The 25,672-nt window shown below is 40.6% G+C and overlaps 1 protein-coding gene and 1 pseudogene across 5 annotated transcripts in view, besides 3 other annotated features; both read left to right on the top strand.

Annotated features, from left to right (window-relative positions):
• PCNX2 (pecanex 2) overlaps positions 1-25,672 on the top strand; it is a 343,895-nt gene that overhangs the window by 33,712 nt on the left and 284,511 nt on the right. The window lies entirely within an intron of this gene.
• RPS7P3 (ribosomal protein S7 pseudogene 3) lies at positions 4,127-4,792 on the top strand (annotated as a pseudogene).
• Positions 6,580-7,079: an enhancer, noted in NCBI's record as "H3K27ac hESC enhancer chr1:233422285-233422784 (GRCh37/hg19 assembly coordinates)". NCBI's record gives its function as "activates a minimal SCP1, AML or CMV promoter by ChIP-STARR-seq in naive H9 embryonic stem cells {active_cell/tissue: H9 hESC(naive)}" and the evidence as "EXISTENCE:reporter gene assay evidence [ECO:0000049][PMID:30033119]".
• Positions 7,080-7,581: an enhancer, noted in NCBI's record as "H3K27ac hESC enhancer chr1:233421783-233422284 (GRCh37/hg19 assembly coordinates)". NCBI's record gives its function as "activates a minimal SCP1, AML or CMV promoter by ChIP-STARR-seq in naive H9 embryonic stem cells {active_cell/tissue: H9 hESC(naive)}" and the evidence as "EXISTENCE:reporter gene assay evidence [ECO:0000049][PMID:30033119]".
• Positions 24,903-24,982: an enhancer, noted in NCBI's record as "active region_2740". NCBI's record gives its function as "activates an Ori minimal core promoter by ATAC-STARR-seq in GM12878 lymphoblastoid cells {active_cell/tissue: GM12878}" and the evidence as "EXISTENCE:reporter gene assay evidence [ECO:0000049][PMID:35858748]".

The following is a 25,672-nucleotide window of genomic DNA, read 5'->3' as shown; positions in this document are numbered from 1 at the left end:
AGCTAGAATTAATTTCTCTTCTCCCTTGCCCTTATACCATTCTGTATTTACTATTAGTTTTACAGCATTCTGTAGTTAGACTATTAGCATTAATAGTACTTTTCGAATTCTGTCTGGTACTTAGTTGTTGGAACATGTATTTCACTTCTATGTCTAGATCATAAGCTTTTTTGAGGGCATGGATTTTTATGTTGTTTATTCATCTTGGTTTTTCCTTGTACATAGCAGAGTGCTCTGCATTTGGTAACACTGATCTCATATATAATTAACTTGTGTGTCTCTTTCTTTTCCAACTAGCATTAAATAGTCTACCTCACTATACTTTTTGAATATTTCCTAAGAATAAAAGCAATATATTTTCCACCTATAATTCCACTCCTCAGAAACCACCACATTCGCATTTAATGTTGTGTTCCTGCAGATGTTTTTTCCTATGCATATGGGCTCATTTTTATAAAACTCTACTTAAGATTTGATGTCTACGTATGGTCAGAACCCTTAATTTCTACCTAACTATGCTTTATTGAGTAGCTTGATTTAGATCTTGTGTTTGTGAGTAGGAAATTGTCCTTCATTAATTTGCTTTTTGATGATATTTAAATGTAATTTTCAGCTAAATCTCAAAATTTTAGAAAGTAAAGTCTGAGACCTTAAATAATTTTGCTTTTATATCAGACTTTAAAAAAAAACAGATATGCCCAAATTGTTATATCTCTATGCCAGCATGCCTTTAACTATTATAGAATAATTGTATGTGGGTACAGTTACTGTTATGCTACTTTTTAATATATAGCCTGCGTTATTAAAAACATGACAGGTTATTTTTTTCTTGCTTTGGTCTTCTGGTTTCTGAAAGTGCCCTTGAAATAAAAGGCCCTCTTCCCCAAATGGAGGCTTTGTTCTTCAGATCTTCGTGCTTAAATATATTCCTCTGCACTTCAGTGTTGCCTGTGATTGTTAATGTCTTTTTCAATTTGTTCATTTACAATCATTTGTTCCAAGAAGATACCTGACTGCTTACTGACAGCAGGGGCTTAGTCAAAGTTCTGTGAACTTTTCTGTTTTCTTTTTGTTTACAATTTTAGTTTAAACATGTTTAAGAAAGTTTTGGTTGGGTGTGGTGGCTCATGCCTGTAATCCCAGCACTTTGGGAGGCCAAGTTGGGTGGATCCCTTGAGATTAGGAGCACAAGACCAGCTTGGCTAACATAGTGAAATCCTGTCTTTACTAAAAAGACAAAAAATTAGCTGGGCGTGGTGGTGCATGCCTGCAATCCCAGTGACTCATGAAGGCTGAGACAGGAGAATCGCTTGAATCCTGGAGGCAGAGGTTGCAGTGAGCCAAGATCACGCCACTGCACTCCAGGCTGGGTGACAGAGCAAAACTCCATCTCAAAAAAAAAAAAAAAAAAAAAAGAAAGAAAGAAAGAAAGTTTCACTATTGAAAGGATCCACTTTTTAATATAACAGATACTTTGAGTATTTTAAATATTTTTATTATTAATTATTGAGGCAAATTTATTTATAATCCCTAGAATGTACTTAGATCTGGGTGATAATGTGGAAAATAGTGATTAATTAGCATTTATAAACTATGTATATATTTGTGAGAAATGTTTGGAAATGTACAACTGAAAACAGTAAGTCAATTTGGATAACTTGGAAAGAGTATTCAGAGCAGTTTTCTTTACAGCAGGGGCATATGGGCATGATTCTGGCCTTGTGTAAGTTCTGAGAGCACTAGCCTCATGTCAAATACACAGTTCCCAACCTCCTTTTCTTTTGGACAAACTGAAAGATGGTTAGTCTTGAGAGATATTTAAATTGTCACTTATTACATGTGTTTTGTCTTTATTCTTTTGAGATGATAATTAATGGAGATTCAGAGCAGAGTGTTCTTTACAGCAGGGGCATATGGGCATGATTCTGGCCTGTGTAAGTCCTGAGAGCACTAGCCTCATGTCAAAAGACACAGTTCCCATTCTTCCTCTTTTTTTTTTTTTTTTTTTTGAGACAGAGTTTCGCTGTTGTTGCCCAGGCTGGAGTGCAATGGCGCAATCTCGGCTCACCGCAACCTCCACCTCCCGGGTTCAAGCGATTCTCCTGCCTCAGCCTCCCGAGTAGCTGGGAGTACAGGCATGCGCCACCACCCTGGCTAATTTTGTATTTTTAGTAGAGGTGGGGTTTCTCCATGTTGGTCAAGCTGGTCTTGAACTCCCGACATCAGGTGATCCGCCCGCCTTGGCCTCTCAAAGTGCTGGGATTACAGGCGTGAGCCACCATGCCTGGCTCGTTCTTCCTCTTATCAATTGTGTGGCCTTATGCAAGTCACCTTACTTCTCCAGACCTCAGTTTAATCATCTGTAAAATGGGGATAACACTTTCATTTTATAGGTTTAGCAACTGAGGTCCAGGGAGAGTCAGCTATTTGCCCACAGTCATCTATAGTCAGTGGTAAAATCCAGCATTTAGCTGAGGTCCTGTAGCATCCGAGTCTTTGGCCCTTCCAGGACATTATGCTGCCTGACATACTACATATAAGAGCACTTTGAAGGCTGTGAAACCGTGGAGCCACCTGCAGTGGAATTATGATTATGCCAGTGGCATTGTGGTCAACTCCACTGGAGAGGAAGAGTTGAGTGGTGGGAAGAATGGGTTGGAACTTTCACATCCTTCAAGACCCCATGCCGGGCAACATTAGACTTAATTTTCCAGGCCTGGCATATATGTTTGTATGGGCAGCCCTTTCCCCGCTTGTGGACAGAAAGCCTGTCTTTCGTTCTATGGCTGGAGCTTTCTGTTTCCTTTCCTTTAACTTTAGCCAGACTTGTTCTGTTTCCAGTTCTGCTTTTTAAAATTTAATCTTAGAGACCTTCTTTGATAAGACCTACATCATTTCTAATTGCTATAATTATAATTAATAGGATTATCTGTCAAGCACTAGCATAGCACTAGGCAAATAGTAAGCACCCAACACATTCTAATTGTTATTACAGCTAATTGGTGACATTTCTATGACAGTCTGCAGCCGTTTCCCATTCTGGTGTGTCATTATTTTTTCTTAGATCTCGATTCCTCTTTTTTCAATCAATGTTTTCCCAAGATTTTACTATAAAAAGTTTAAAACATACAACAAAGCTGAAATAATTTTACTGTGTGCAGCTATATACATAGCACTTTGAGTTTACCCCATGAACATTTTACTCTACTTGCTTTATCACCTTTCTATCCATTTGTCCATCCTTCTAGCGATCCCTTATTCTACTTTATTTTCTTGATGCATTTCAAAGTAAACTGCACACATCGGTCTGTTTCTTCCTACATATTTCACCTTGCATAATAAATTACAGTTTGATAGAAATTTAAATATACATTTTGAAGAAAGTTGCCATGGAGCTCTGGTTGTGGGCCCCATGCTCTAGGCATCTTGGATTATTCTACTCCTTCATACCCCTAACCCCCTAATACCCCAACCCCCTTCCTGAGGCCTAAGAAATGAAGGTCCAATTGGATATTCAGGTTTGAGAGTAGAATTTAAGGTTTTGCATTTCTTTGACCACCCTTCCTTCCTCCTTTACTTCTTTCCCCCCGCCCCCCAGGCTTCACCTAGACTTCCTCTCCTACTTTTAACATATAAGATGACTTAGTGTAAATTATGGAAAGGTAGCCTCTCCAAAGAGGCAGCCTTTCCTGGCCCATTTAATCCTGTCAGCAGGAGACCTTTGTGCAGCATGCAACCTGCGCAGCCTCGCATAGCAGGCTTGGCCCATTCCACATGATTGTTGTTATTCTCTTGAACTGCTTGGCACGTTGCCATTCTCAAAAGGTTACCTCTGTTCTAGTCAGTCCTAGCATTGTTATCCAGTTTCCTCAAAAGAAAGGCTTTCTCTGTTAATGGATCACATAGTCCATGCTTTCTTTCCTTTGACTCCCAGAACCTTGATATTTGGTCCTTCCACTTCTGGGGGCCTTATTTATTCTTGCATTGAGATGCCTGATCCTTTGCACTATCTCCATAATTTACCTGAATGTCTGGCTTCCTGCCTCCTGCCCTCACCTGCCTGAAGCAGAGTTGTATTTCAGGCGAAGAGCCTGCAGCATGGAGTTGCTTAAAAGGCATCCTTCTGCTCTTCCTAAGCCGGCGCTCGGCAAGTTCTCCCAGGAGAAGGCCATGTTCAGTACGAGCGCCAAGATCGTGAAGCCTAATGGCGAGAAGCCGGACGAGTTCGAGTCCCGCATCTCCCAGGCTCTTCTGGAGCTGGAGATGAACTTGGACCTCAAGGCTCAGCTCAGGGAGCTGAATATTATGGCAGCCAAGGAAATTGAGGTTGGTGGTGGTCAGAAAGCTATCATAATCTTTGTTCCCGTTCCTCAACTGAAATCTTTCCAGAAAATCCAAGTCCGGCTAGTATGTGAATTGGAGAAAAAGTTCAGTGGGAAGCATGTTGTCTTTATCGCTTAAAGGAGAATCCTGCCTAAGCCAACTTGGAAAAGCTGTACAAAATATAAGCAAAAGCATCCCAGGAGCCATACTCTGACAGCTGTGCACGATGCCATCCTTGAGGACTTGGTCTTCACAAGCAAAATTGTGGGCAAGAGAATCCGCGTGAAACTAGATGGCAGCCGGCTCATGAAGGTTCATTTGGACAAAGCACAGCAGAACAATGTGGAACACAAGGTTGAAACTTTTTCTGGTGTCTATAAGAAGCTCATGGGCAAGGATGTTAATTTTGAATTCCCAGAGTTTCAATTGTAAACAAAAATGACTAAATAAAAAATATATATTCACAGTAAAAAAAAAAAAAAAAAAAAAAGGGCATCTTTCCTGGGTCCTGGGCCTCCAAAAGAACTACAGACTCAGTCCCTCCAGATTTGGGCTGAATGCCATCCCATGCAGTTGTCTCTCAATTTTTGCTTCTCCGGATGGCTCTGTGGACGGCATGTGCAGAGGGCTTGCCTGTGTGGAGGGCTCTGCTTTCCTGGAGTACCTTCATTTGTTGCTGGGGCAACAGTCTTTTCAAATTGATAATTATTTTCTTGAGTCAGTTGCTCTCTTTCTGCACAGCTCCTCCCATTTATCCTTGTCTTCTGCCATTAGATACATGCATGTCGGTGGGCAGGATTTATGTCCTCAGGTTGTGTTTCTGTGTTTGTTTTTTCTTTCCATTCTGGTATTACAAGTTCATGACAAATTTTCTAGTAGTTAAACTTATGTCTCCTGCCCCACTCCCAGCTTTCTCAGGGCTTCTTGAGATTTCCCCCCATTAGTGATTGGCTGTATTTTGAATGGTTCACTCCTCAGATACATGGTATTTTTCCCAAGGGTAATGTCTAATACTTTAATACCCTATTATTTTTGTTTTAATTGAACAATCTAATTCACTTGGTGTTACTTCTTTTGTGTAGAAGCTAATACTTACTAGGTGATTGTTATTTTCTGGCTTTAATCATTTGGTCTCCTAAATGGTAAATTTTAAACATTAAATATCTTATTGCTATATCGTCTTCTCTAAATCTCCTTCCTATGTCCTCTGCAAGAAGAAAATGGACTCACTTTTAATGGTATTCAGATTTTTCCACATTTTTTGTCTAGTGCATTTTCTTCCTTTAGCATTTACAATTGTATTATGTTACTATTATTGGAATAGGTAAGAATCACAGCCAACGCTTCTGAGCACATATGAGGCAGACACTTTTTTTTTGTAAGAGCTTTGCAAGAAAGAAATCATCTCACCTTCATAGTGCCCCAGTGAGGCACCATCATTATTCCCATTTTACAGTCAATGAAACTAGCAAAGAGAGGTAGGTTAACATGCTTATGAATACATGGCTAGTCATGGCCTGACTAGGATTAAAGCCCAAGCATTGGAGTTCTTACCTGCTCAGCCATATCACTTCTAACAGGTCATTTTACAATGTGGGCATATTAGTCCATTTTCATACTGCTGTGAAGAAATACCCAAGACTGGGTAGTTTATAAAGGAAAGAGGTTTAATGGTCTCACAGTTTCACATGGCTAGGGAGGCCTCACAGTCATGGCACAAGGCAAATGAGGAGCAAAGTCACGTCTTACATGGTGGTAGACAAGAGAGCTTGTGCAGGAGAGCTCCCCTTTATAAAACCACCAGATCTCATGAGACTTATACACTATCATGAGAACAGAATAGGAAAGACCTGCCTCATGGCTCAATTACCTCCCATTGGGTCCCTGCCATGAGCTGTGGGAATTATGGGAGCTGCAGTTTAAGATGAGATTTGGGTGGGGACACAGCCAAACCATACCAATGGGTATATATTCCTTGCACATTGGCATGAAGACATACAAACACTAAAAATGTACAAAAGGACATATAATAAAAATATAACTTCCCTCTCACACTTATTTCTAGTTTCCCACTTGAGATGGAACCACTATACACAGCCTCTTGTGTTTTCTTGCAGTGGTATTTTATACACATGTGAGTGGAAGTTTGAATGTAAGGGGTCCTGAGTGTAATCATAAAGCAACTTTATTTGTCTTCCACTGTTCCTTTCAATTTGCCTTGGACAGGAGTTTTCTTCCCATATCCCAGATAAAAATATGGGTAACGCCCATGACTTCACATCACAGCTTATACAAATTTTATGATGGCTTTTAGCAACAAAATACAGACTTGATTTAGATCGCAGAATGTGCAGTTCCTTGGCATAATCAAAGCTACCATCATCCAGTCATTTCCAGGTAGGAAGGGACATGAGGATGGCACAGTCTTTCTTGCTCTCTTCCTCCCTCATGCGTTGACTGATGTTTCTGATGTCCTTGGCTTTGGAGAGCAGGAAGATTCTTTGTTGACTGTCACGGTGGTAAGGGGGCCTTGGGCTTTCAGAGCATGGCACGTGTTCCTAGTTGATTCTCTGGAGAGCTGCCTTTCCACACCCTCAGAGACTCTGTTCTCCTTGCCAGCCTTGTCTCTCTGGCGCTTGTCTTGATGAGGGCTGCTGTGTCTTTGCCCTGTCTGGTTGCATACTCTGTCCACCTCCAGCTTTCTTCTGTGCCAGTCTCCTCTGCTCCGTAGCCCATTCAGACATGATCTAAAGCAGATCTATACAGATTCTCGCGTACATAGTCCATGTCAACGTCCACATATTCCTTTCCCCACCACACTCTAGGAGGGCAGGCCAAGCTCATACCTCCATCAAAGCAGCTAGCCAGCCAGTCTCTGATCTTTCACCTTTTCTAGGAGGGAATCAGACAGCAGTCCACTGTGCCTTCTACCCCAACCCAAATGGTAGGGGGCTCATATTAGGTGCCTTCTACCCCCACCCAAATGGTAGGGGACTCATATTAGGTGCCTTCTACCCCCACCCAAATGGTAGGGGACTTATAAGTTTCTAAGTGGTCCCACTGAAGCGCTTCTCTTCTGACTGAGGAAGAGGATGGGACACAGGACTAGCTGCACACCAGCAGGCCTTTCCAAAAATCTTCATATACCCTTTTTTTCTAAATTCTATTACATCATTTTGAGTAAGGAATTTAGGATCATGTAACTCATCCTCATAATCTATCTAGAAATGTTTTTTTGTCCCAGAAATTTGCATTGGAATCTCTTATCCATCCTACCTTGGTTCCTTGGTCAACACTTTCATTAAAAATGTTATACAAATGTGTAATCATTTATGCATACATAGCCCTGTTGTCCCTCTTGATGGAACATCTTGGAGATCATGACACAAAGAGCCTCCTCATTATTCATGTCTGCATGGTATTCCAATATTTCTATAAAGGGCAACTTATTTGACTAGTCACTATTGAAGAATATTTAGGTTTTCAGATGATTTTTAACCTAATGCCATTAGTTGTATATGGATCAGTCAAGATGTGCTAGCTTATGCTGAAGTAATAACCAACCTAAACATGTGTTTGGCTTTACCAAGTTTTTTGTTTGTTTGTTTGTTTGTTTTTTTGAGATGGAGTCTCTCTCTGTTGCCCAGGCTGGAGTGCAGTGGCACGATCTCAGGTCGCTGCAACCTCTGCCTCGCAGGTTCAAGCAATTCTCCTACCTCAGCCTCCAGAGTAGCTGGGATTACAGGCATGCACCACCACGCCCGGCTAATTTTTTGTATTTTTAGTAGAGACAGGGTTTCACCATATTGGCCAGGCTGGTCTCGAACTCCTGACCTTGTGATCTGCCCACCTCAGCCTCCCAAAGTGCTGGGATAACAGGTGTGAGCCACTGAGCCTGGCCACCAAGTTTATTTTTAATTTTTAATTTTATTATTATTTCTTTTTAGAGATAGGGTTCATTGTCACTCAGGCTGGAGAACAGTGGCGTAATTGTAACTCACTGCAACCTCAAACACTTGGGCTCATATGATCCTCCCACCTCAGCCTCCTGAGTAGCTGGGACTTCAGGCATGCACCACCACATCTGGCTAATTTCTTATTTTTTGTAGAGACGGGGTCTTGCTCTGCTACCCAGGCTGGTGTCAAACTCCTGGCCTCAAGCAATCCTCTCACTTTGGCCTCCCGAAGTGTTGGGATTACAGGCGTGAACCACTGCACCCGGCCCTATTTTTTATTTATACTACATGTCCAACATGGTCCATTGGGATGTCAGGGGTATGGTTAGCAGGGGGTCCTGCTCATTATAGGTAGTTAGGAACACGGACTGTTTGAGTCTTCATTTTGGGTTGACTGGGAGCATTACTTGCTATCATCCCCCCCATGACCCTGGATGATCATACCAGTCACTATGGTTGAGGGACACTGAGTGGGTGTCATGCTGTGGCTCTGGAGGCTCCTGCTTGGAAATGGCAAATACTTCTTGCCTTCAGACTGCTTTGTCAGGGAATGTTGCATGAGCACACCTCACTTCAAAGGGGAAGGATAGTGCAATTCTACCCTGTGCCTGAGAGACTAACTGGACATGTTTGTTGGAGAGCACTTATGTCTATGACAACAGACTGAGTGCCAGATGTTCTGCTGGATATTGTGGAGGCAGCAGGAGAACAAGATGGATTGATGTCTTCTCCCATGCAGTTAACAGATAAACAGGCATGAATAACACAGTGATCATTGTTACCATAGGGGAAGTGCAGGTGCTGTACAGTAAAGATGGGAGATGGAATCTTGGCATTAGTACTTAGGGAAGGCTTCCCAGAGGAGGAAGTAACTTCTAATCTGAAGTCTGATGAATGAGTAGGAGTTAGCCAAGCAAAGGTGAATAGAGGAGGAACAGCATTTTAAGCAAGGGGAACAGCATGTATTAAAGCTGTAAGGTGTGTGAGAGTCTGACTAGTTTTGCTGTACCCTTTAAGAATATATGGGAGACATCAAGACACATGACCCCTGAAAACTTCAACAGGTGTCTCTTAAGGAAAAGAACATTCTCCCATGTAATTATCACACCCAGAAAAGTTATTCATATGATGGTATTGTCTAATATATCGTTCCTATCCAAATTTCCGTTATGCCAGCCAGTAATGTCTTAGAGAGCTGGGGTTTTTGGTTTTGTTTTTCTGTATCCAAGATTCAAACAAGGATCAAACATGGCTTTTAGTTGCCACCTATCTTGATTGTTCTTATTCTAAAATGAGTTATCTAAGCCTCTGTGTCAGTGTTGTGTCCTTGTCATCCATCATATCAGAGGGACAGAATTCTCCCACCTCTCCCCAACCCGCATCATTGGTTAAGGTAGTGTCAGCCAGATGTCCCTATTGTAAAATTACCAATTTTCCCCTTTGTGTTTAGTGAGTAATCTGTGGAGTGAAACCTGGAAACTCTTTATATTGTATTTCCAAAAGTCTTTCACCCAATAGTTATAGTATAAATTGATGATTCTGGACTAAAATAATCATTACAATGGTGGTTGCAAAATGGTAATTTTCTAATTTTCTTCCTACCTTTATTAATTGGTACTATTCTGTAAAGAAGAGTTTTTTTTTCCCCCGTCCTCATAGTTTTGTTGCACTTTTTAGTGTGGTCCCACAAATTCATTTTTTAATTCAATGGGAGTATAATCTATTCCTATCATCATTCTTTTTGATGTTCAAATGATCAAAAATTTGGCAAGTGAGACCTTTTCGTGGATATATCCATGAGTTTTCTTGGATATATCCTCATCAGTTTGTGAGCACGTTGTTGCTTTCTACCCAACAAGATATTCCTGGCTTAGCTCGTACTTTCCCTGCCCCAGCCCTGGAAGAATCAGCCATTTCACCAAGGAGCCATGATCCTTTTGGTGGGGAATTACATTTGGAAACCAAAATCTAGAGCTGCAGTAGTTGCATTTGTTGCTACTAGTTGTCTTTGCCTCTAGCCCCTTTCAGTAGACACAGCTAAAAGATTGATCAATCTATAGATTGAATGATTGAATAATCAATTAAAGTTTATTCTGAGACCTTCAATCCAATCCATATCAAAGGACTCTTTCTCTCCTTCCATTATTTCATATTTATATCTCCCTTCTCCCACAGTGAGAACTCTAGCTCACAACAATATCATTTGCTCAGTCCTAAAATATATACACGAATTACTACTCCCATAACACCACCATAGACAAATCTTTAAGGAAAAGTTCAAGACTGTTTAGAAGTTATTATTATTATTTTTTTTTTTAGAATACGCATCACCAGTAATGTACTGCCAGAGTAACATGCTCAAAAGTTACTTAGATGAATTATTTTCCAATTATTTTTTGGTTCATCTTTGTGGTTATGCTATCATTTGATATATAGTTAGGTTCACTTGTAGCTATATAATTTTAGCTTTTCCTCCGTCCTTGCTGATTTAATAATTTATACCAACATGAGGTATAAAACATTAACAGAGTTCACAAAACATATAAAAAGATATGCTGAATTACTTTATCAAAAGGTTTCTCTGAGTGCTGGATGGAAAGTAGATCAAAGAAAGGACAAAAATAGAAATGAGAGGTTCGGTGTCTATTTCAGTCACCCAGTCAAGAGATGGTGGTGGCAGTAAAGATGGAGAATCATGGATAGATTTTGATAGGATTTAATGATCAGTTCATTTTTAGGGTAGAGGCGTAAGGATGGGGGAGGAATCAAGGGAGATGCCTGATTATCTGGTTTGAACCAGAGGCGTATGAGGTGCCACTGACTGAGATGAAGGATGAAAGAGGATAGTTGGTAGGGAAACCGAACACCTAGTTTTACACATAGTAGTTTGGAGTTTCCTTTTAGATATCAAAGTGGAGATGTTGAGTAGATAGTTGGATATAGGTGTGGGGAGTTTAAAGGAACAATCTAAGCTAGGGATACAGATTTGAAAAATAATCAACATAGAGATGATATTTACCGCCAAGGGACTGGGTAACACTTCCTAAATAGAATGTGTAGAGCGGGAAATGAGTGCTAACAGTGAGGCCCCAGGAGCGCTACACTCAGAGGCAGGGCAAAGAGGAGGCGTCGGGAGACAAGGGAAGAGCAAGGAGAGCATTTCCATTGTGAGCAACTGTGTTGCTCGCTGCTGAGAAAACAGGAAATTGTGGTTATTTTTTGTTTTTAGAGACATTGACAAGAAACTTTCAGTGGTGTGTTGGGGAGCAGAAGCCAGACTGCTGTGGGTTTAAGAGGCAATGGGAGGTGAAGACAGTTCTTTCAAGCAGGGAGCAGAAAAAGGGCACACTATCTGGAGAGAGGTTTGGAGTCAAGGGGGTTTATTCCTCCCTCAAGATCAGAAGGTCCTTGAGAGTAGGGCTGTGATTTGAATCCCCATTGGTCCTTGGAATGGTGCTTTATACATAGCAGATAATCTAATCACTCTGCATTAATGGAATCTAACTCCATAAGGGAAGGCACAGTTTTGGTAGTGCATATTACAGACTGTGGTCAGACCCATTTCAGTAGACTCACCACAAGGTTGTGGCCAGAATCCAGATCTTTAAAAATGGAGCTGAAAAACAGAGACATTACTCTTGGAATTGGCTTGCCTTGAAGTTCAATTTGCCATTGCTTTCAAGATAACCTTTATTATTTATGTAGCAATTATGTATTTCCTTGTGGTACTTATATAATAAGTTAATTTTTTTCTATCATGGGAAACTTGGACTTTAAAAAATTATAGACCATTGAATCAGGCAAAAATAAATTTTACCTCATTTCTTGTTACTGACTGATATTAAGTATAGGAGGGAAATATAGAAGCTTTGGACTGTGAAGGACCTTACGCATTTCTTATTCTTATCTCTTAGTCTCTGATATAAACATTTAGATTGGATTTACTGTGTGTTTCAGTTCTTTCCCCAGATCTTTACCATCTCAGAAGAAATGCCAGATAACTAATAGCCCATTGGGATATAGTTCCCTATCAATAGACACCTCTTTCTAGGCTAGACTTGTCTTTTGTTATTTCTGTTTTCAAGACTACAATTAGATACTTAATAATCAGGGAAGAAGAAAAATTCCTGAATATAAGAAATGTCCCTGAGTAATCCCTGACACAAATATTTCACTCAGAAAACAGTTGTCTGGCTTGTTTCAGAAATACTTTTTCTTACTATATATCAACCCCTCCGACTGTGTACACAGGCAATAAAACACTTGCTGTGTTGCTCTGTTGCACTTGGCTTCTTCTTACAACAGCATATCTGAATTTATTATTCCGTAGTGTTGATGAATGATGAATAGATGATGATGATCATGATGGTGATGATCGTGAGAGATGTGAACATTTAAGTGCTTTTTATGTGCCAGTGTATTAATTATTTTATACTTATTGTCCTTAATCTTTGTAAAAATATTATTAAGAATTATTTTTCTCATTTCACAGAAGAAACAGATTTACAAAGGCTAAATAACTTCCAAAGGTTGTACAATTTGCTAAATTGAGAAAAAAAGATGTAATATAAAGTTACTATCATAAATGTTTATTTATTGACCAATATTTTTGACCAGCTGTTTGCTGGATACCAAGCTGGGTGCTGAGGGTGTAATGGAGAATAAGACAGACCTGGCCTCATCCTCATAAGACTTACCATTTTTACATGGCTCTAGGAATAAATAAGAATCAGTAGAAGAGGACCAGGCACGGTGGCTCATGCCTGTAATCCCAACACTTTGGGAGGCCTAGGCGGGTGGATCACCTGAGGTCAGGAGTTCGAGACCAGTCTGGCTAACATGGCAAAACCTCGTCTTTACTAAAAAAACAAAAATTAGCCGGGCATGGTGGCGCATGCCTATAATCCCAGCTACTCAGAAGGTTGAGGCACGAGAATCACTTGAACCCAGGAGGCAGAGGTTGCAGTGAGCTGAGAAGACCACTGCACTCCAGCCTGGGTGACAGAGTGAGACTTTGTCTCAAAAAAAAAAAAAAAAAAAGGTAATATGGAATGTGGTTTAAATAAATAACCATTCTCAAGAATTCAAAGGGATGTACGTTCAAAGTGAGTCACTGAAGCACTATTTGTTATAGCAGATGACTAGAAACAGGTATCCATTGAGAAGGAATTGGCTTAATGGATTAAGGTACGTCCTACAGTGGAGTAGTACACAGCTGTAAAAAAGGAATGAGAAAATAGACTGCTGTAGAGGGATCTCCAGATAACACTGTTAAGAGAAAAAAGCAGAAGATATATATAGACTAAAAAGGAGGGAAAGATGAAGCATACCTGCAATTAATTCTGTTTCAAAAAGACACATTCAAAAGATAAAACGTTAATAAGAACATAGTTACCTATAGAAGGAGGTAAAGAACAGGTGAAGGCAGTAGGACTGGAAATGAGGAATGAACCTTGATAGATTGATGGCATAACCAAACAAAATCTGTTTCATATGACTTTAATGACTTTCTAGGCCTCCTGATACAACATAAAGGCAAAAGAGCCACAAAGACATCTTAAATTGCATTCAGTAAGCTTATTAATAAGATTTGATACATATTTTGAAATTATTATATATGTAGTACAGGGTAAAGAAAATAATAAATCATGTTATAATATTTAGGAATAAGGATTTCAGCAATAAAAGAAAACAAACAAATACAAAATCAAAGGACTCACATAGAACCTTGTAATCTTTAAAATTATAAATATCAGCCTAGGGTGGTGGCTCACACCTGTAATCCCAGAATTTTGGGAGGCTGAGGCAGGCAGATTGCTTGAGCCTAGGAGTTCAAATCCAGCCTGAACAACATAGTGAAACTCTGTCTCTACAATAAAATATATATATATACACACACATATATATAAATATTTTACACACACACACACACACACACACACACACACAAACACAAATTAGCTGTGTATGGTGGCACATGCCTGTAATCCCGGCTACTTGGGAGGCTGAGGTGGATCACTTGAGCCCGGGAGGTCGAGGCTGCAGTGAGCTATGATCATGCCACTGCACTCCAGCCTGGGCAACAGAGTGAGACCTTGTCTCAAACAAACAAACAAAAAGAGCAATGTCATTCTGAAATCATGACTTATTTATTTCTTAAAAAAATTTATTTTTGAGCTCTACTGAAAAACCTAGAATCAGTGATAACCCAATGAGAATAGACAGATCTAGAACTCAGATTTTAGTCTCTGAATTCCATTTTCTTTTAAAAGAAACTAGAGCTCTTTGGAAAAAACGGTTTATTCCAGGTCTGGGCAAGAAAATGAACAAGAGGAGTCTTTAAAGAAGAATTATTGAAGAATACTAGGGTCATATTAAAAAGATAGCAGAGTAAGATTATAGATGCTGGCCAAGTATGTTCAATTTGAGCCCCAGTGAGATCATCATACAATGATATGCATTTAGGAGTGGGGTGCATCCTACAGAAAGGGGAGAAATGATACTGTAAAGAGGAAGCTAAAACTGGATGCCAGAGGGCTCATCTCTGCCACCCAGAGTAGATGGTATGTTAGCAACAAGACTTGCTCACAGGCCTCCAACCAGATTGTGGTGGGCTCTGGCATGGGACAGAGTGGAGGGCAAGTGTCTCCAGCTATGAAGAACTGCAGAATCAGAGCTGACACTGAGGAAGAGACATGCGATCTGACTCCTGTCCCTTGCTCATCAGAAAACCTTTCTAGAAATCTCCACTCCCCTGTACAGAAATGCCCATTCCCATCAGCAGGCATAATTCTCAAGACATTTCCTCCCTCTGACCCATGAGATTAGGGCTTGTGACCCCCTTTCCATCATGGTGATAAAACACCTCAGGAGGCGCTTGTCCCATTGACATGATGTCACTGCTGCAGGATCCTCTCTCTCCTCCAGCATTTTACATCTCAAGAGTCCCCAGAGAGGCCTATCAAGCAGCAGCCCAGATTGGGGGCCCTGATGCCTTGCTGTGAGTCAGCATCTTCTCTGCAGACTTGCCCTCCTCTTGGCTCTGTTGGCTCCTGAGGCAGGCACAGTTTGCCCTTGCCACTGTTTGTGGACCTTGAAAATAGGTGTGTGGGAGGCCAGGGCTTAACATGCTTGCTGCAGCCAAGAAAGGGCCCAGTGTTGACTGCGTGTCAGGTACTGTGTGCACACAAAGAGTAGACACAAAGAGTAGACTCGGGGAGTTTATAATTACTTGAAATAGAGTCCATAAAAGTGTGATAACTGTCTATGAGTGGTGCAGATAATAGCTGATTTGGACATCAGAGTGCTTAACACATAGTTTACACTGAACCCTTTACTAATTAATCAATAAAGAATGATAAACATAATCAGTAATGTTGAAAATAAGTTTGTATCCAGGCTTTCCTCATCTTTCAGTAGTCATTCATTGCTTCTTGGTGTTCTTTGCTTGGTTCCATTTCCCCTTTTCCCTTAAATATGGGTCTTCTCTTCAAGTCTGTCTCTATATTTCATCATCTCCTTTCTCCTGTGGAGAGTCAAGGCACCGTGTTGACTTCGCCTGTTGCATCTGTGCTAATGATCGGTGCCCTCCTCCACACTCCCCTCCATGTCTTATGCAATTTCTGCATCACAGTTGAAGCCAGGGACCTCTGGAGCCTCCAACAGCAGCCCCCGTTCTTTGGTTTTCTCCACCTGCTCTAATTGGACTGCCTTGACGCCAAGATAGGACAGCTTACCTGAGTGAGCCCTTCAGTTGTGTGCCCCTCTGTAGTGTTTAAATACTACTTTACCGATGTTAATCTGATCTCCCCATTTAGGTGTTTACTCCCTTAGGCCATGTTGGTTTGTGGCCCTGCCCATGGTAGAGGACAGCAAGCCCACTTCTGTGATGCAATGACCAAGAACCCTGGAAGCTCAAGGGGTCTTGACAATGAAAAGCTTTGAAACTAGCATAAGAAGTGCTGGAGAAAATTAATTGTAGGTATTTTGATAGGGCAGTGATGTGATTAAAATGGCGCTTGAGAGACACTATCTTGAAAGCTGTAGAGCAGAGGAGAGGAGACTGGCTAGCAGGCCACGCCAGGCCTCCCAGCAGGGATTGAAGGAGGACCTCAAGGGCTCAGCGGTGTGTCATCTGACAGTCCCACCTTCCCAGACTTATCCCACTCCTTTCTTCTTTTCTGCCCTCCCACCCAGGCAGTCAGCTGCACAGGCTTTCTTTGTGTCTCTAATGCTGATTTGTATCCTTTGCACACTTTGGCCCATTGTCTGGAATCTCCATGCTCACCTTTCTGAGTTAACTCCAGTTCACCTTCACTGCTCAAGTTCAATACCAGTTCCTTGAAGGATTATTCCCTGACACTCTAGTCTAGGTTAGGTTCCCTTGCTGGGCAAAAATAAATTACTTTTAAAATTAGTTGTCACTAGTGTGTGCTATATTGGAAGCTACTTGAAGACAAATGTTTGCCTGTTGCAGTCACAGTTCTACCCCAAAGTGCCATGCACGGTGCCTGGCACAGAATATGGAACAGTACTTGCTGAGCACCTGAAAGGCTAAATGAACGTGGAGCTTGATCATCTTTAGGATCCAGCTAACAACGTGGGACTTCTGCTTTGTAGCTTACTCTGGGCAGTGAACACGTTGCATGGATGAAATTTGAACTTGAGAGATATTCTAGAAGGGAAATCGCGAGCTCTCTGAGGAACTGGTTCTGCTTATTTCTTAACCTCTGTATTCAAACAGCAGGACCCAGTGTGGTGATTTGGTTGTTCATATTTCTCAGTTGAAAAATGTCATGCGTAATCCAAAGTGTTATAAAATAATAATTACTTTAAGAATTGTGATAAGATGTATATAACATAGAATGTCCCATCATAACCACCTTTAAGTGTACAGTTGAGCAACATTAAGTACATTCACATTGTTGTACAACCATCACTATGTTTCATCTCTAGAACATTTTTATCTTCCCAAACTGAAATTCCATTCCCGTTAGACAATAACTCCCCATTTCTCTCTCCCCCAAGCCCCCGGCAACCACCATTCTACTTTTTGTCTCTATGAGTTTGAATACTCTAGTTACCTCATATAAGTGGAACCATGCAGAATTTGCTTGTTCGTGATTGCCTTATTTGACTTAATATAACATCCTCAAGGTTCATTCATGTTGTAGCATGTATCAGGATTTCCCTCCTTTTCAAGAGTGGATAATATTCCATAGTATGTATAGACCACATTTTGTTTATTCAAAGATTTGTTGAAGGACATTAGAGTTGTTTCCACCCCTTGTCTATTTTTTCTTTTTTTTTTGGAGACAGTCTCGCTCAGTCATCAGGCTGGAGTGCAGTGACACGACCTGGGCTCACTGCAACCTCTGCCTCCCTGGTTCCAAGCGATTCTCCTGCCTCAGCCTTCTGATTAGCTGGGATTACAGGCACACACCACCATGCCCAGATAATTTTTCTATTTTTAGTAGAGACGGGGTTTCACCATGTTGGCCAGGATGGTCTCGATCTCCTGACCTCGTGATCCGCCCACCTCGGCCTCACAAAGTGCTGGGATTACAGGCGTGAGCCACTGAGCCCAGCCTCACCCCTTGTCTATTATAAATAATGCTGCTATGTACATGGGGGTACAAGTATCTCTTTGAGACCATGCTTTCATTTCTTTTGCATGTATACCCAAAAGTGGAATTGCCAGATCCTATGTTAATTCTATTAATTTTTTGAAGAAGTCCCACACTGTTTTGTGTAAATACTTTTTAAAATAACAATATATCAACTTAACATGTGTTACTTCCTTTCAGTATCACCTTATAAGAGTATTCATTTATTCCAGCTGGGTGCAGTGGCTCACGCCTGTAATCCTAGCACTTTGGGAGGCCGAGGCAGGCAGATCACTTGAGGTCAGGAGTTCGAGACCAGTCTGGCCAACATGGTGAAACCCCGTCTCTACTAAAAGCACAAAAATTATCTGGGCATGGTGGCATGCACCTGTAATCCCAGCTACCCAGGAGGCTGAAGCAGGAGAATCACTTGAACGCAGGAGGCAGAGGTTGCAGTGAGCCGAGATCTCACCACGCACTCCAGCCTGGGTGACAGATCGAGACTCCATCAAAGAGACAGTATTCATTTATTTGAACGATCTTGCCATTAATCCTAGTGGTCTCAGACCTTCCTTTTAGAAATGTTTTTGAAATTCTAACACTAGCAAAAGAGCCGTGGGAATAGTTTCTATCTGCATTTATATCACACTTTACTGTTTTTGAAGTGATTTTATAGAAAAATCAGTATATGTTTCACAGTGTGCATTCACAAATGTGATTTCATCAAACGCTGCAACAATTCCATGAAACAGATTGCCCCTTCCTCATCTCCTCATTGCTGGTTCTACTTCTGTCTCCATCTGTCCATCTACATGGATGAGTTTGTAAAATGTAGATACCAACTTTTTGCTTCTATGTTTCGCTAGCCTTCTGTGCTCTTCATCATGAAGATCAAAGTCCTAAGCCTAATGTCAAGATTTTTCATTTCTTACCACTTGCTTCTGACTTCAAATACCGCATGTCTGTGATTCCAAACTATTTGCTCTTCCTGGAAGGCCCTTTGCTTTTCTCATGCTGTTTCCTCTGCCTGGCTTTTCTCAGCATGCTTTATAGTTTTCAAATGTGTGACTTCTCTGAAATAGTTTTCTTGGTCTGCTACCCCCATTCCTCAGTCTGATTTAGGCACACCTGATTTGCTTGAATGACAGCACTTGCTACTCTACTTTGGAATTCTACTCTATACATCTACTCTCATGCTTGACTTTTGAACTTGGTATGTATAGGGACTATGTTTCTTTTGTCTCTATGCTTGGTACACTTTAATGCGTTTTTGAGCTAAGCAGTGATTTTCAACTGTGGGGAGGGTTGATTTTGCACCCCCTCTGGGACTGTCTAGAGATATTTTTGGTTGTCACCACTGGAGGGATTGCTACTACACCTAGTATGTAGAAACTAAGGATGCTATTGAATGTCCTGCAGTGCATAGCACCTACGTAGCCCCTCACAGCAAAAAACTATCTGGCCCAAGATGTCAGTAGTGTCAAGACTGGGAAGCCCTGGGCTAAAGAAGGAAGGTGACTGTTATGTAATATTAGTGGATGAAGTCCATGATTTTAGTGACCTTTGCTGCAGCATGTTAATACCCACTTGTAAATATTATATTGAAGTAGGCACACTGGTTCTAAATTGGGAGCAACAACTCCCCCCAAGGGGCATTGACAAATTTTGTTGGGACCATTTCTGGGTTTATCTCAATGACTTTATCACAATGTAATTTAAGTTAAATGTCCTAGTAGTATTAAAACAATGGGAGCCAGAGAAGCTAAACATCTTACACAATGGGAAATTATTAGGCTCAAAATGCCAAAAGAGGTCAGGCACGATGACTCACGCCTGTAATCCCAGCACTTTGGGAGGCCAAGGCAGGCAAATCACAGGGTCAGGAGTTTGAGACCAGCCTGGCCAACATGGTGAAACCCCGTCTCCACTAAAAATACAAAAAATTAGCTGGGCGTAGTGGCAGGCGCCTGTAATCCCAGGTACTCGGGAGGCTGAGGCAGGAGAATCGCTTGAACCCGAGAGGAGGAAGTTGTAGTGAGCCGAGATTGTGCCACTGCACTTCGGCCCTGGCGACAGAGTAAGATTCTATCAAAAAAAAAAAAATGCCAAAAGAGCTTCTCTTTTATTGAAAACCACTGAATGGGATGGAGCAGAAACCTATTGGACAATCCTTGGTAGTTATGGCCTTTGCAAGAATCAAACTAAACACATTTGCAGTTGGATAGAAGGAAAGAAGGATTCTGAGACATACCAACATCTGACTTCTTACTAGGTTGCTGACTAGCAGACTGGGCAAGAGAAGGAATGCAAAATCTGCAGGTGGGCATGGAGCTTGCACAGGGATCCCTTCTAGCCCAGCCTCTAAGGACCCTCCCACTTTGAGCTGTGGCCACTGCTCCTTCCATGGCTCACACAGCACTGCAGCTTCTGCTTGTTTGTTAAGCAGAATGTGTAAAGAAAAAGTTATTAATGCAACTCATTTTCATCTCACTGTTCCTTTAAAAATGATTATTACTGATTTTAATATTTTATTTTTAAATTATTATTTTTTTATATCCTCTCTAGTTTTTTTAATGATTTTTTTTTATTTCCATAGGTTTTTGGAGAACAGGTGGTGTTTGCTTACATAAGTAAGTTCTTTAGTGGTGATTTGTGAGACTTTGTTGCACCCATCACCCAAGCAGTATACACTATACCCAATTTGTTGTCTTTTATCCCTCACCCTCCTCCCACTCTTTCCCCCAAGTCCCCAGAGTCTATTGTATCATTCTTATGCCTTTGCATCCTTATATTTTAGCTCCCACTTATGAGTGAGAGCATATGGTATTTGGTTTTCCATTCCTAAGTTACTTCACTTAGAATAATGGTCTCCAATTCCATCCAGGTTGCTGTGAATGCAATTATTTCATTCCTTTTTATGGCTGAATAGTATTCCATGGTAAATATATACACCACAATTTCTTTATCCACTCATTGATTGATGGGCATTTGGGCTGGTTCCGTATTTTTGCAATTGCGAATTGTGCTGCTATAAACATGCCTGTGCAAGTATCTTTTTCATATAAGGATTTCTTTTCCTCTGGCTAGATACCCAGTAGTGGGACTGCTGGATCAAATGGTAGTTCTACTTTTAGTTCTTTAAGGAATCTCCACACTGTTTTCCATAATGGCTGTACTAGTTCACATTCCCACCAGCAGTGTAGAAGTGTTCCCTTTTCACTGCATCCCTGACAACACCTATTATTTTTTCATTTTTTGATTATGGCCATTCTTGCAGGAGTAAGGTGGCATTGCATTGTGTTTTTGATTTGCATCTCCCTGATCATTAGCGATGTTGAGCATTTTTTCATATGCTTGTTGGCCATTTGTATATCTTCTTTTGATAATTGTCTATTCATGTTCTTAGCCCATTTTTTGATGGGATCGTTTTTTTTTTTTTCTTGCTAATTGTTTGAGTTCCCTATAGATTCTGGATGTTAGTCCTTTTTGGATGTATAGATTGTGAAGATTTTCTCCGATTCTGTGGGTTGTCTGTTTACTCTGCTGATTGTTTCTTTTGCTGTTCAAAAACTTTTTTAGTTTAATTAAGTCCTACTTATTTACAATTGCTTTTGTTGCGTTTGCTTTTGGGTTCTTGGTCATGAAGTCTTTGCATAAGCCAGTGTCTAGAAGGGTTTTTCCAATGTTATCTTCAAGGATTTTTATGATTTCAGGTCTTCATTTTTTCACAGTACTTGAAAAGACAATCCTAAAATTCATATGGAACCACCAAGGAGCCCGCATAGCCAAGGCAAGACTAAGCAAAAAGAACAAATCTGGAGGCATCACATTACCTGATTTCAAACTATGCTATAAGGCCATAGTCACCAAAACAGCATGCTACTGGTATAAAAATAGGCACATAAACCAATGGAATAGAACAGAGAACCCAGAAATAAAGCCAAATACTTACAGCCAACTGATCTTCAACAAAGCAAACAAAAACATAAAGTGGGGAAAGGACACCCTATTCAACAAATGGTGCTGGGATAATTGGCAAGCCACATGTAGAAGAATGAAACTGGATCCTCATTTCTCACCTTATACAAAAATCAACTCAAGATGGATCAAAGACTTAAACCTAAGACCTGATTTTAATATTTTAACAAAATTGAATTTGAAGAATGTTGCTTAAAATTAACTGTAATATACTTCATTAAATTTGAACATTAATTGATATAGGCTTGAAAGTTCATGACACTCGTCATTTTCTATATCATTTGGGTTTGAGGGCACTTAATAAACAGAGTCAAGGAACTTGGTGGTAATGAACTCAGACATTTTAGTAGTAAGTTTTTGACTTTGTCAAGCCAAAACTATTTCCAAAATTCCTTATGAAAAATAAGTATTCAGTCTTGATTTAGATTATATATAAAATATGGTGTTGATCATGTATGGGTTATATTTTATAAACATTCATAATTTTTAATTTTCATTTTTAATTTTAAATAGCACATTTCTATTAGGAGACATGTGACATGGATTTCCAACACAACCTCAGTACAAATTTATGATTGATTTTGTCATTGCATTGAAGTTGACATAACTTTGTCTTGTATAAACTTATTGATTCATTCTGTTTATCTCAGTGTACATTAAAAATATAAGTATTATGTTAACTCTTACCATGGCCATTTAAAATGAAAACGACAACATGAGTTCAAATTTCTTGACTAAACTAAACATTCATTTACTAAGTTATCCATTCAATATTCTCTATCAGAAGAGAAGAGAGAAAGGTGCAGCTTTTTAAATAATTTTCAAAGTGAGTAAGTCTACAATGATTCTCATTTTAATGACTCTGCTGATATGGTCAAATCTAACTTTCTAACCTTTGGCTGTTTTTTTCATCTTACCATTCCCTGTAGCACCATCCTAACGGTCCAGACACTCACTTGTCACCTCTCTATCATCAATTTCTCTCATCAAAACTGCACACTAAGAAAGAGGTCCAGGAGCTCAACAAAATCAGAGCAGATTTCATAAGAAACAGACAGCAAACCCAACAAAAGTCAAATAGCAGGCCTAAGACAAAGTGTTCTATTCTACTTTTTTGTTCATCTTACTTTGCAGGATAGACGTTCACATAGAGCTAAATTTTGAGAAACTGTCAAATGTTTTGATTCCATCTACCTCATCATTTTTAAACAGGTATTTGCAAGGGGGGCCTATATCTAAGGGGAGCTGCATGGAGACCCCCTGTCCGTAACCTGTCGGGGGCAGGTTCCTGTATGTCAGGATGCATTCTGTACACATCTACGTCCAGGGGTTCTTGGCCTATATTCCTGTGATCCAAACTTCTGCTGGGCTTGTTCTAGTTTTCAACATATAATCACAAGTTCCAGATTTTCTGATAAAATACTAAATTTGTTTAGTTTATTTTTTCATAAAAGAAATGCATGAAATATGTAAGAAATATTATTTTGAATCTGAAAACTTGTAACTCCCTTCACATATATAAACGCAAAGAAATGATAGCACTTCTCTGTCATGTGCTTTTTTTTGTATACACACCTGTCCTCAATCCCTCAAGGAATTATAACTTACTTAAATAGGACCCAAGAGTCATACTTGAATGGCAGAGACAAGATACTAACATTTACCTGTGAAAGGAATGAATGAATGAATGAATGGGGATGGATGACCAGATGGACAAAGGTGCTCTCTCTTAATTTGATAAAATGGATGAGCAGAAAAGAATCTCTGTTAACTCTGAAGCAGATAAGGCAACTCATATTGCTCAGTCTGAATTCTATCTTTTTGGATGAACCTGTGGTTTTCAAATAGTTGTAGAACTTGTCAGTCTTCCAGCAGCTTGAGTAGGAGGTTCTAAAGCCCACGGATGGCATAAATAACCAGACTAAGCAGTTCCCCACAGCCAGAGGAAATGCTCTGGCATACAGCACAATCATCCCAGCACTCTCGGATGGGCATATAAATGTCAAACTTGAGTGTGAGTGTTATGTTTGGCAGATTAATGCTTCATTTATTAGGCCACATATTCTGAGTAAAAACATTTTTCAAATTATTTGAAACTTAACCTTTAAGCAGGAAAACTCAATTTACTTTAACCACATTGATGGGATAGTTTTAAATGTCCCTGCCTTCTCTGACAGTATATTGAATATCACAGACCATTTTCTTTGTAATCCTAGATATTATGCTATTGTAGTGATAGCCTCAGACATAACTGAGGTGTATTTGTGTCTCAGAAAATAATTGGAGAAGTGCCTTTGCTTTTTTATGGGTGCGTTTTCTTTTTTCTAGTTTTACTTCTCCCAAGACTTCAGCTGTCATTTATTAGGTCTTGTTACATTATTGTGCCTACTTCTGTTCATTCCTCATTTTCCCTTCTAGTTTCTGCTGTGGGCTGGGAAACTGAGTTTATTAGGCTTATTATGTGCCAGGTAAATGAATTATGCTTAGACCAAGAGCACAGAACATCTAGTGAAGCTCTGAGCAGCTCCCTTTCCAGTTAAGTTCAAGAACTTTATTCATAGACTTGGTGTCCCCATAGATAACACATCCTCTTCTGAGGCACTTAAGGGAGACAAAAGAGTCAAACATAAGGAATTCAGAAGATCACCTTTAGTGTGAATGAACTGATATTTGGGAATGTGACTGATATTAATATCTGCAGGCAAGTGGACTTCCTCACTGTGGACCCCAGAGTGATAGAGACTTACCCACTTGGTCAGGGGCACCATGCACAGCCTTGGGCCTCTTTACTTGGGGCCTGACACTGGAGGCCTTGCAGTATAGGAGCCACCCAGACACACCTTCTTGGCCCAACCAGCTCCTGAGAGAGAAGAAGGGGAGGGCATGAGAAAGACATGCCCAGTTCTGGCTCCCCAAATCACTCATCAGAAGTCACTAAGGGAGGAGGAAGTCATGGGGGTGGAGAGGCTGGCTATGTAGAGAGAATCATCCCCTCTTTTGAAACCAAGAAGTGGGGAGGAATTGTCTCCCTCTAACAGTGATGTGTTCTGACTGCCCAGGAAGGCCACACTTTTATTACTTTCTCCTGAGTCTCTGGTTCTCAGTCAGGTCATTGAAGTTGCTAGGTAGGTAACTTCCAGAAAGGAGGAGTTCTGTGAGCTCATCAACGCTGCAGCATGACCCACTTTACACCCAGCTTCTTCATGTGCAGAATGAATCTATTCATTTCCAGAAGACTTCTTCAAAATTAGCTTGTGAAAGCCGAGTGATAAAGTACCCTTATGAGGTACACATCAGTAAAGGATGAGCCCCCAAGAGTGTCCTTCTTTATGTCTGCAAACAGAAACCCTCAGCAGCGGTTGATTCTCACTGGGCATGGGCATTACTTATAGCTAATCCTCACTCAGCCAGATTTTTTATCTCTCCAGGCCATTCAAAAGATGGGAGGCAAAACCCATTGGCCTGTAGTTAAAAACCAGAGTGATGTAACACAGCACAGCTGCTATGGAAAATGGTGAGGCAGTTCCTCCAAAAATTAAACATAAACCAGGCGCGGTGGCTCAAGCCTGTAACCCCAGCACTTTAGGAGGCCAAGGCGAGTGGATCACCTGAGGTTGGGAGTTTGCTGCCAGCCTGGCCAACATGGTGAAACCTAGTCTCTACTAAAAATACAAAAATTAGCTGGGCTTGGTGGTGCGCGCCTGTAGTCCCAGCTACTCATGAGGCTGAGGCAGGAGAATTGCTTCAACTCGGGACGCAGAGATTGCAGTGAGTCAAGATTGTGCCACTGCACTCCAGCCTGAACAACAG

This window comes from Homo sapiens, chromosome 1, assembly GCF_000001405.40.
Source record: "Homo sapiens chromosome 1, GRCh38.p14 Primary Assembly".
Classification (NCBI taxonomy): domain Eukaryota; kingdom Metazoa; phylum Chordata; class Mammalia; order Primates; family Hominidae; genus Homo; species Homo sapiens.
The sequence above is the reverse complement of the archived record's forward strand: the minus strand, read 5'-3'. Positions and strand labels throughout refer to the sequence as shown.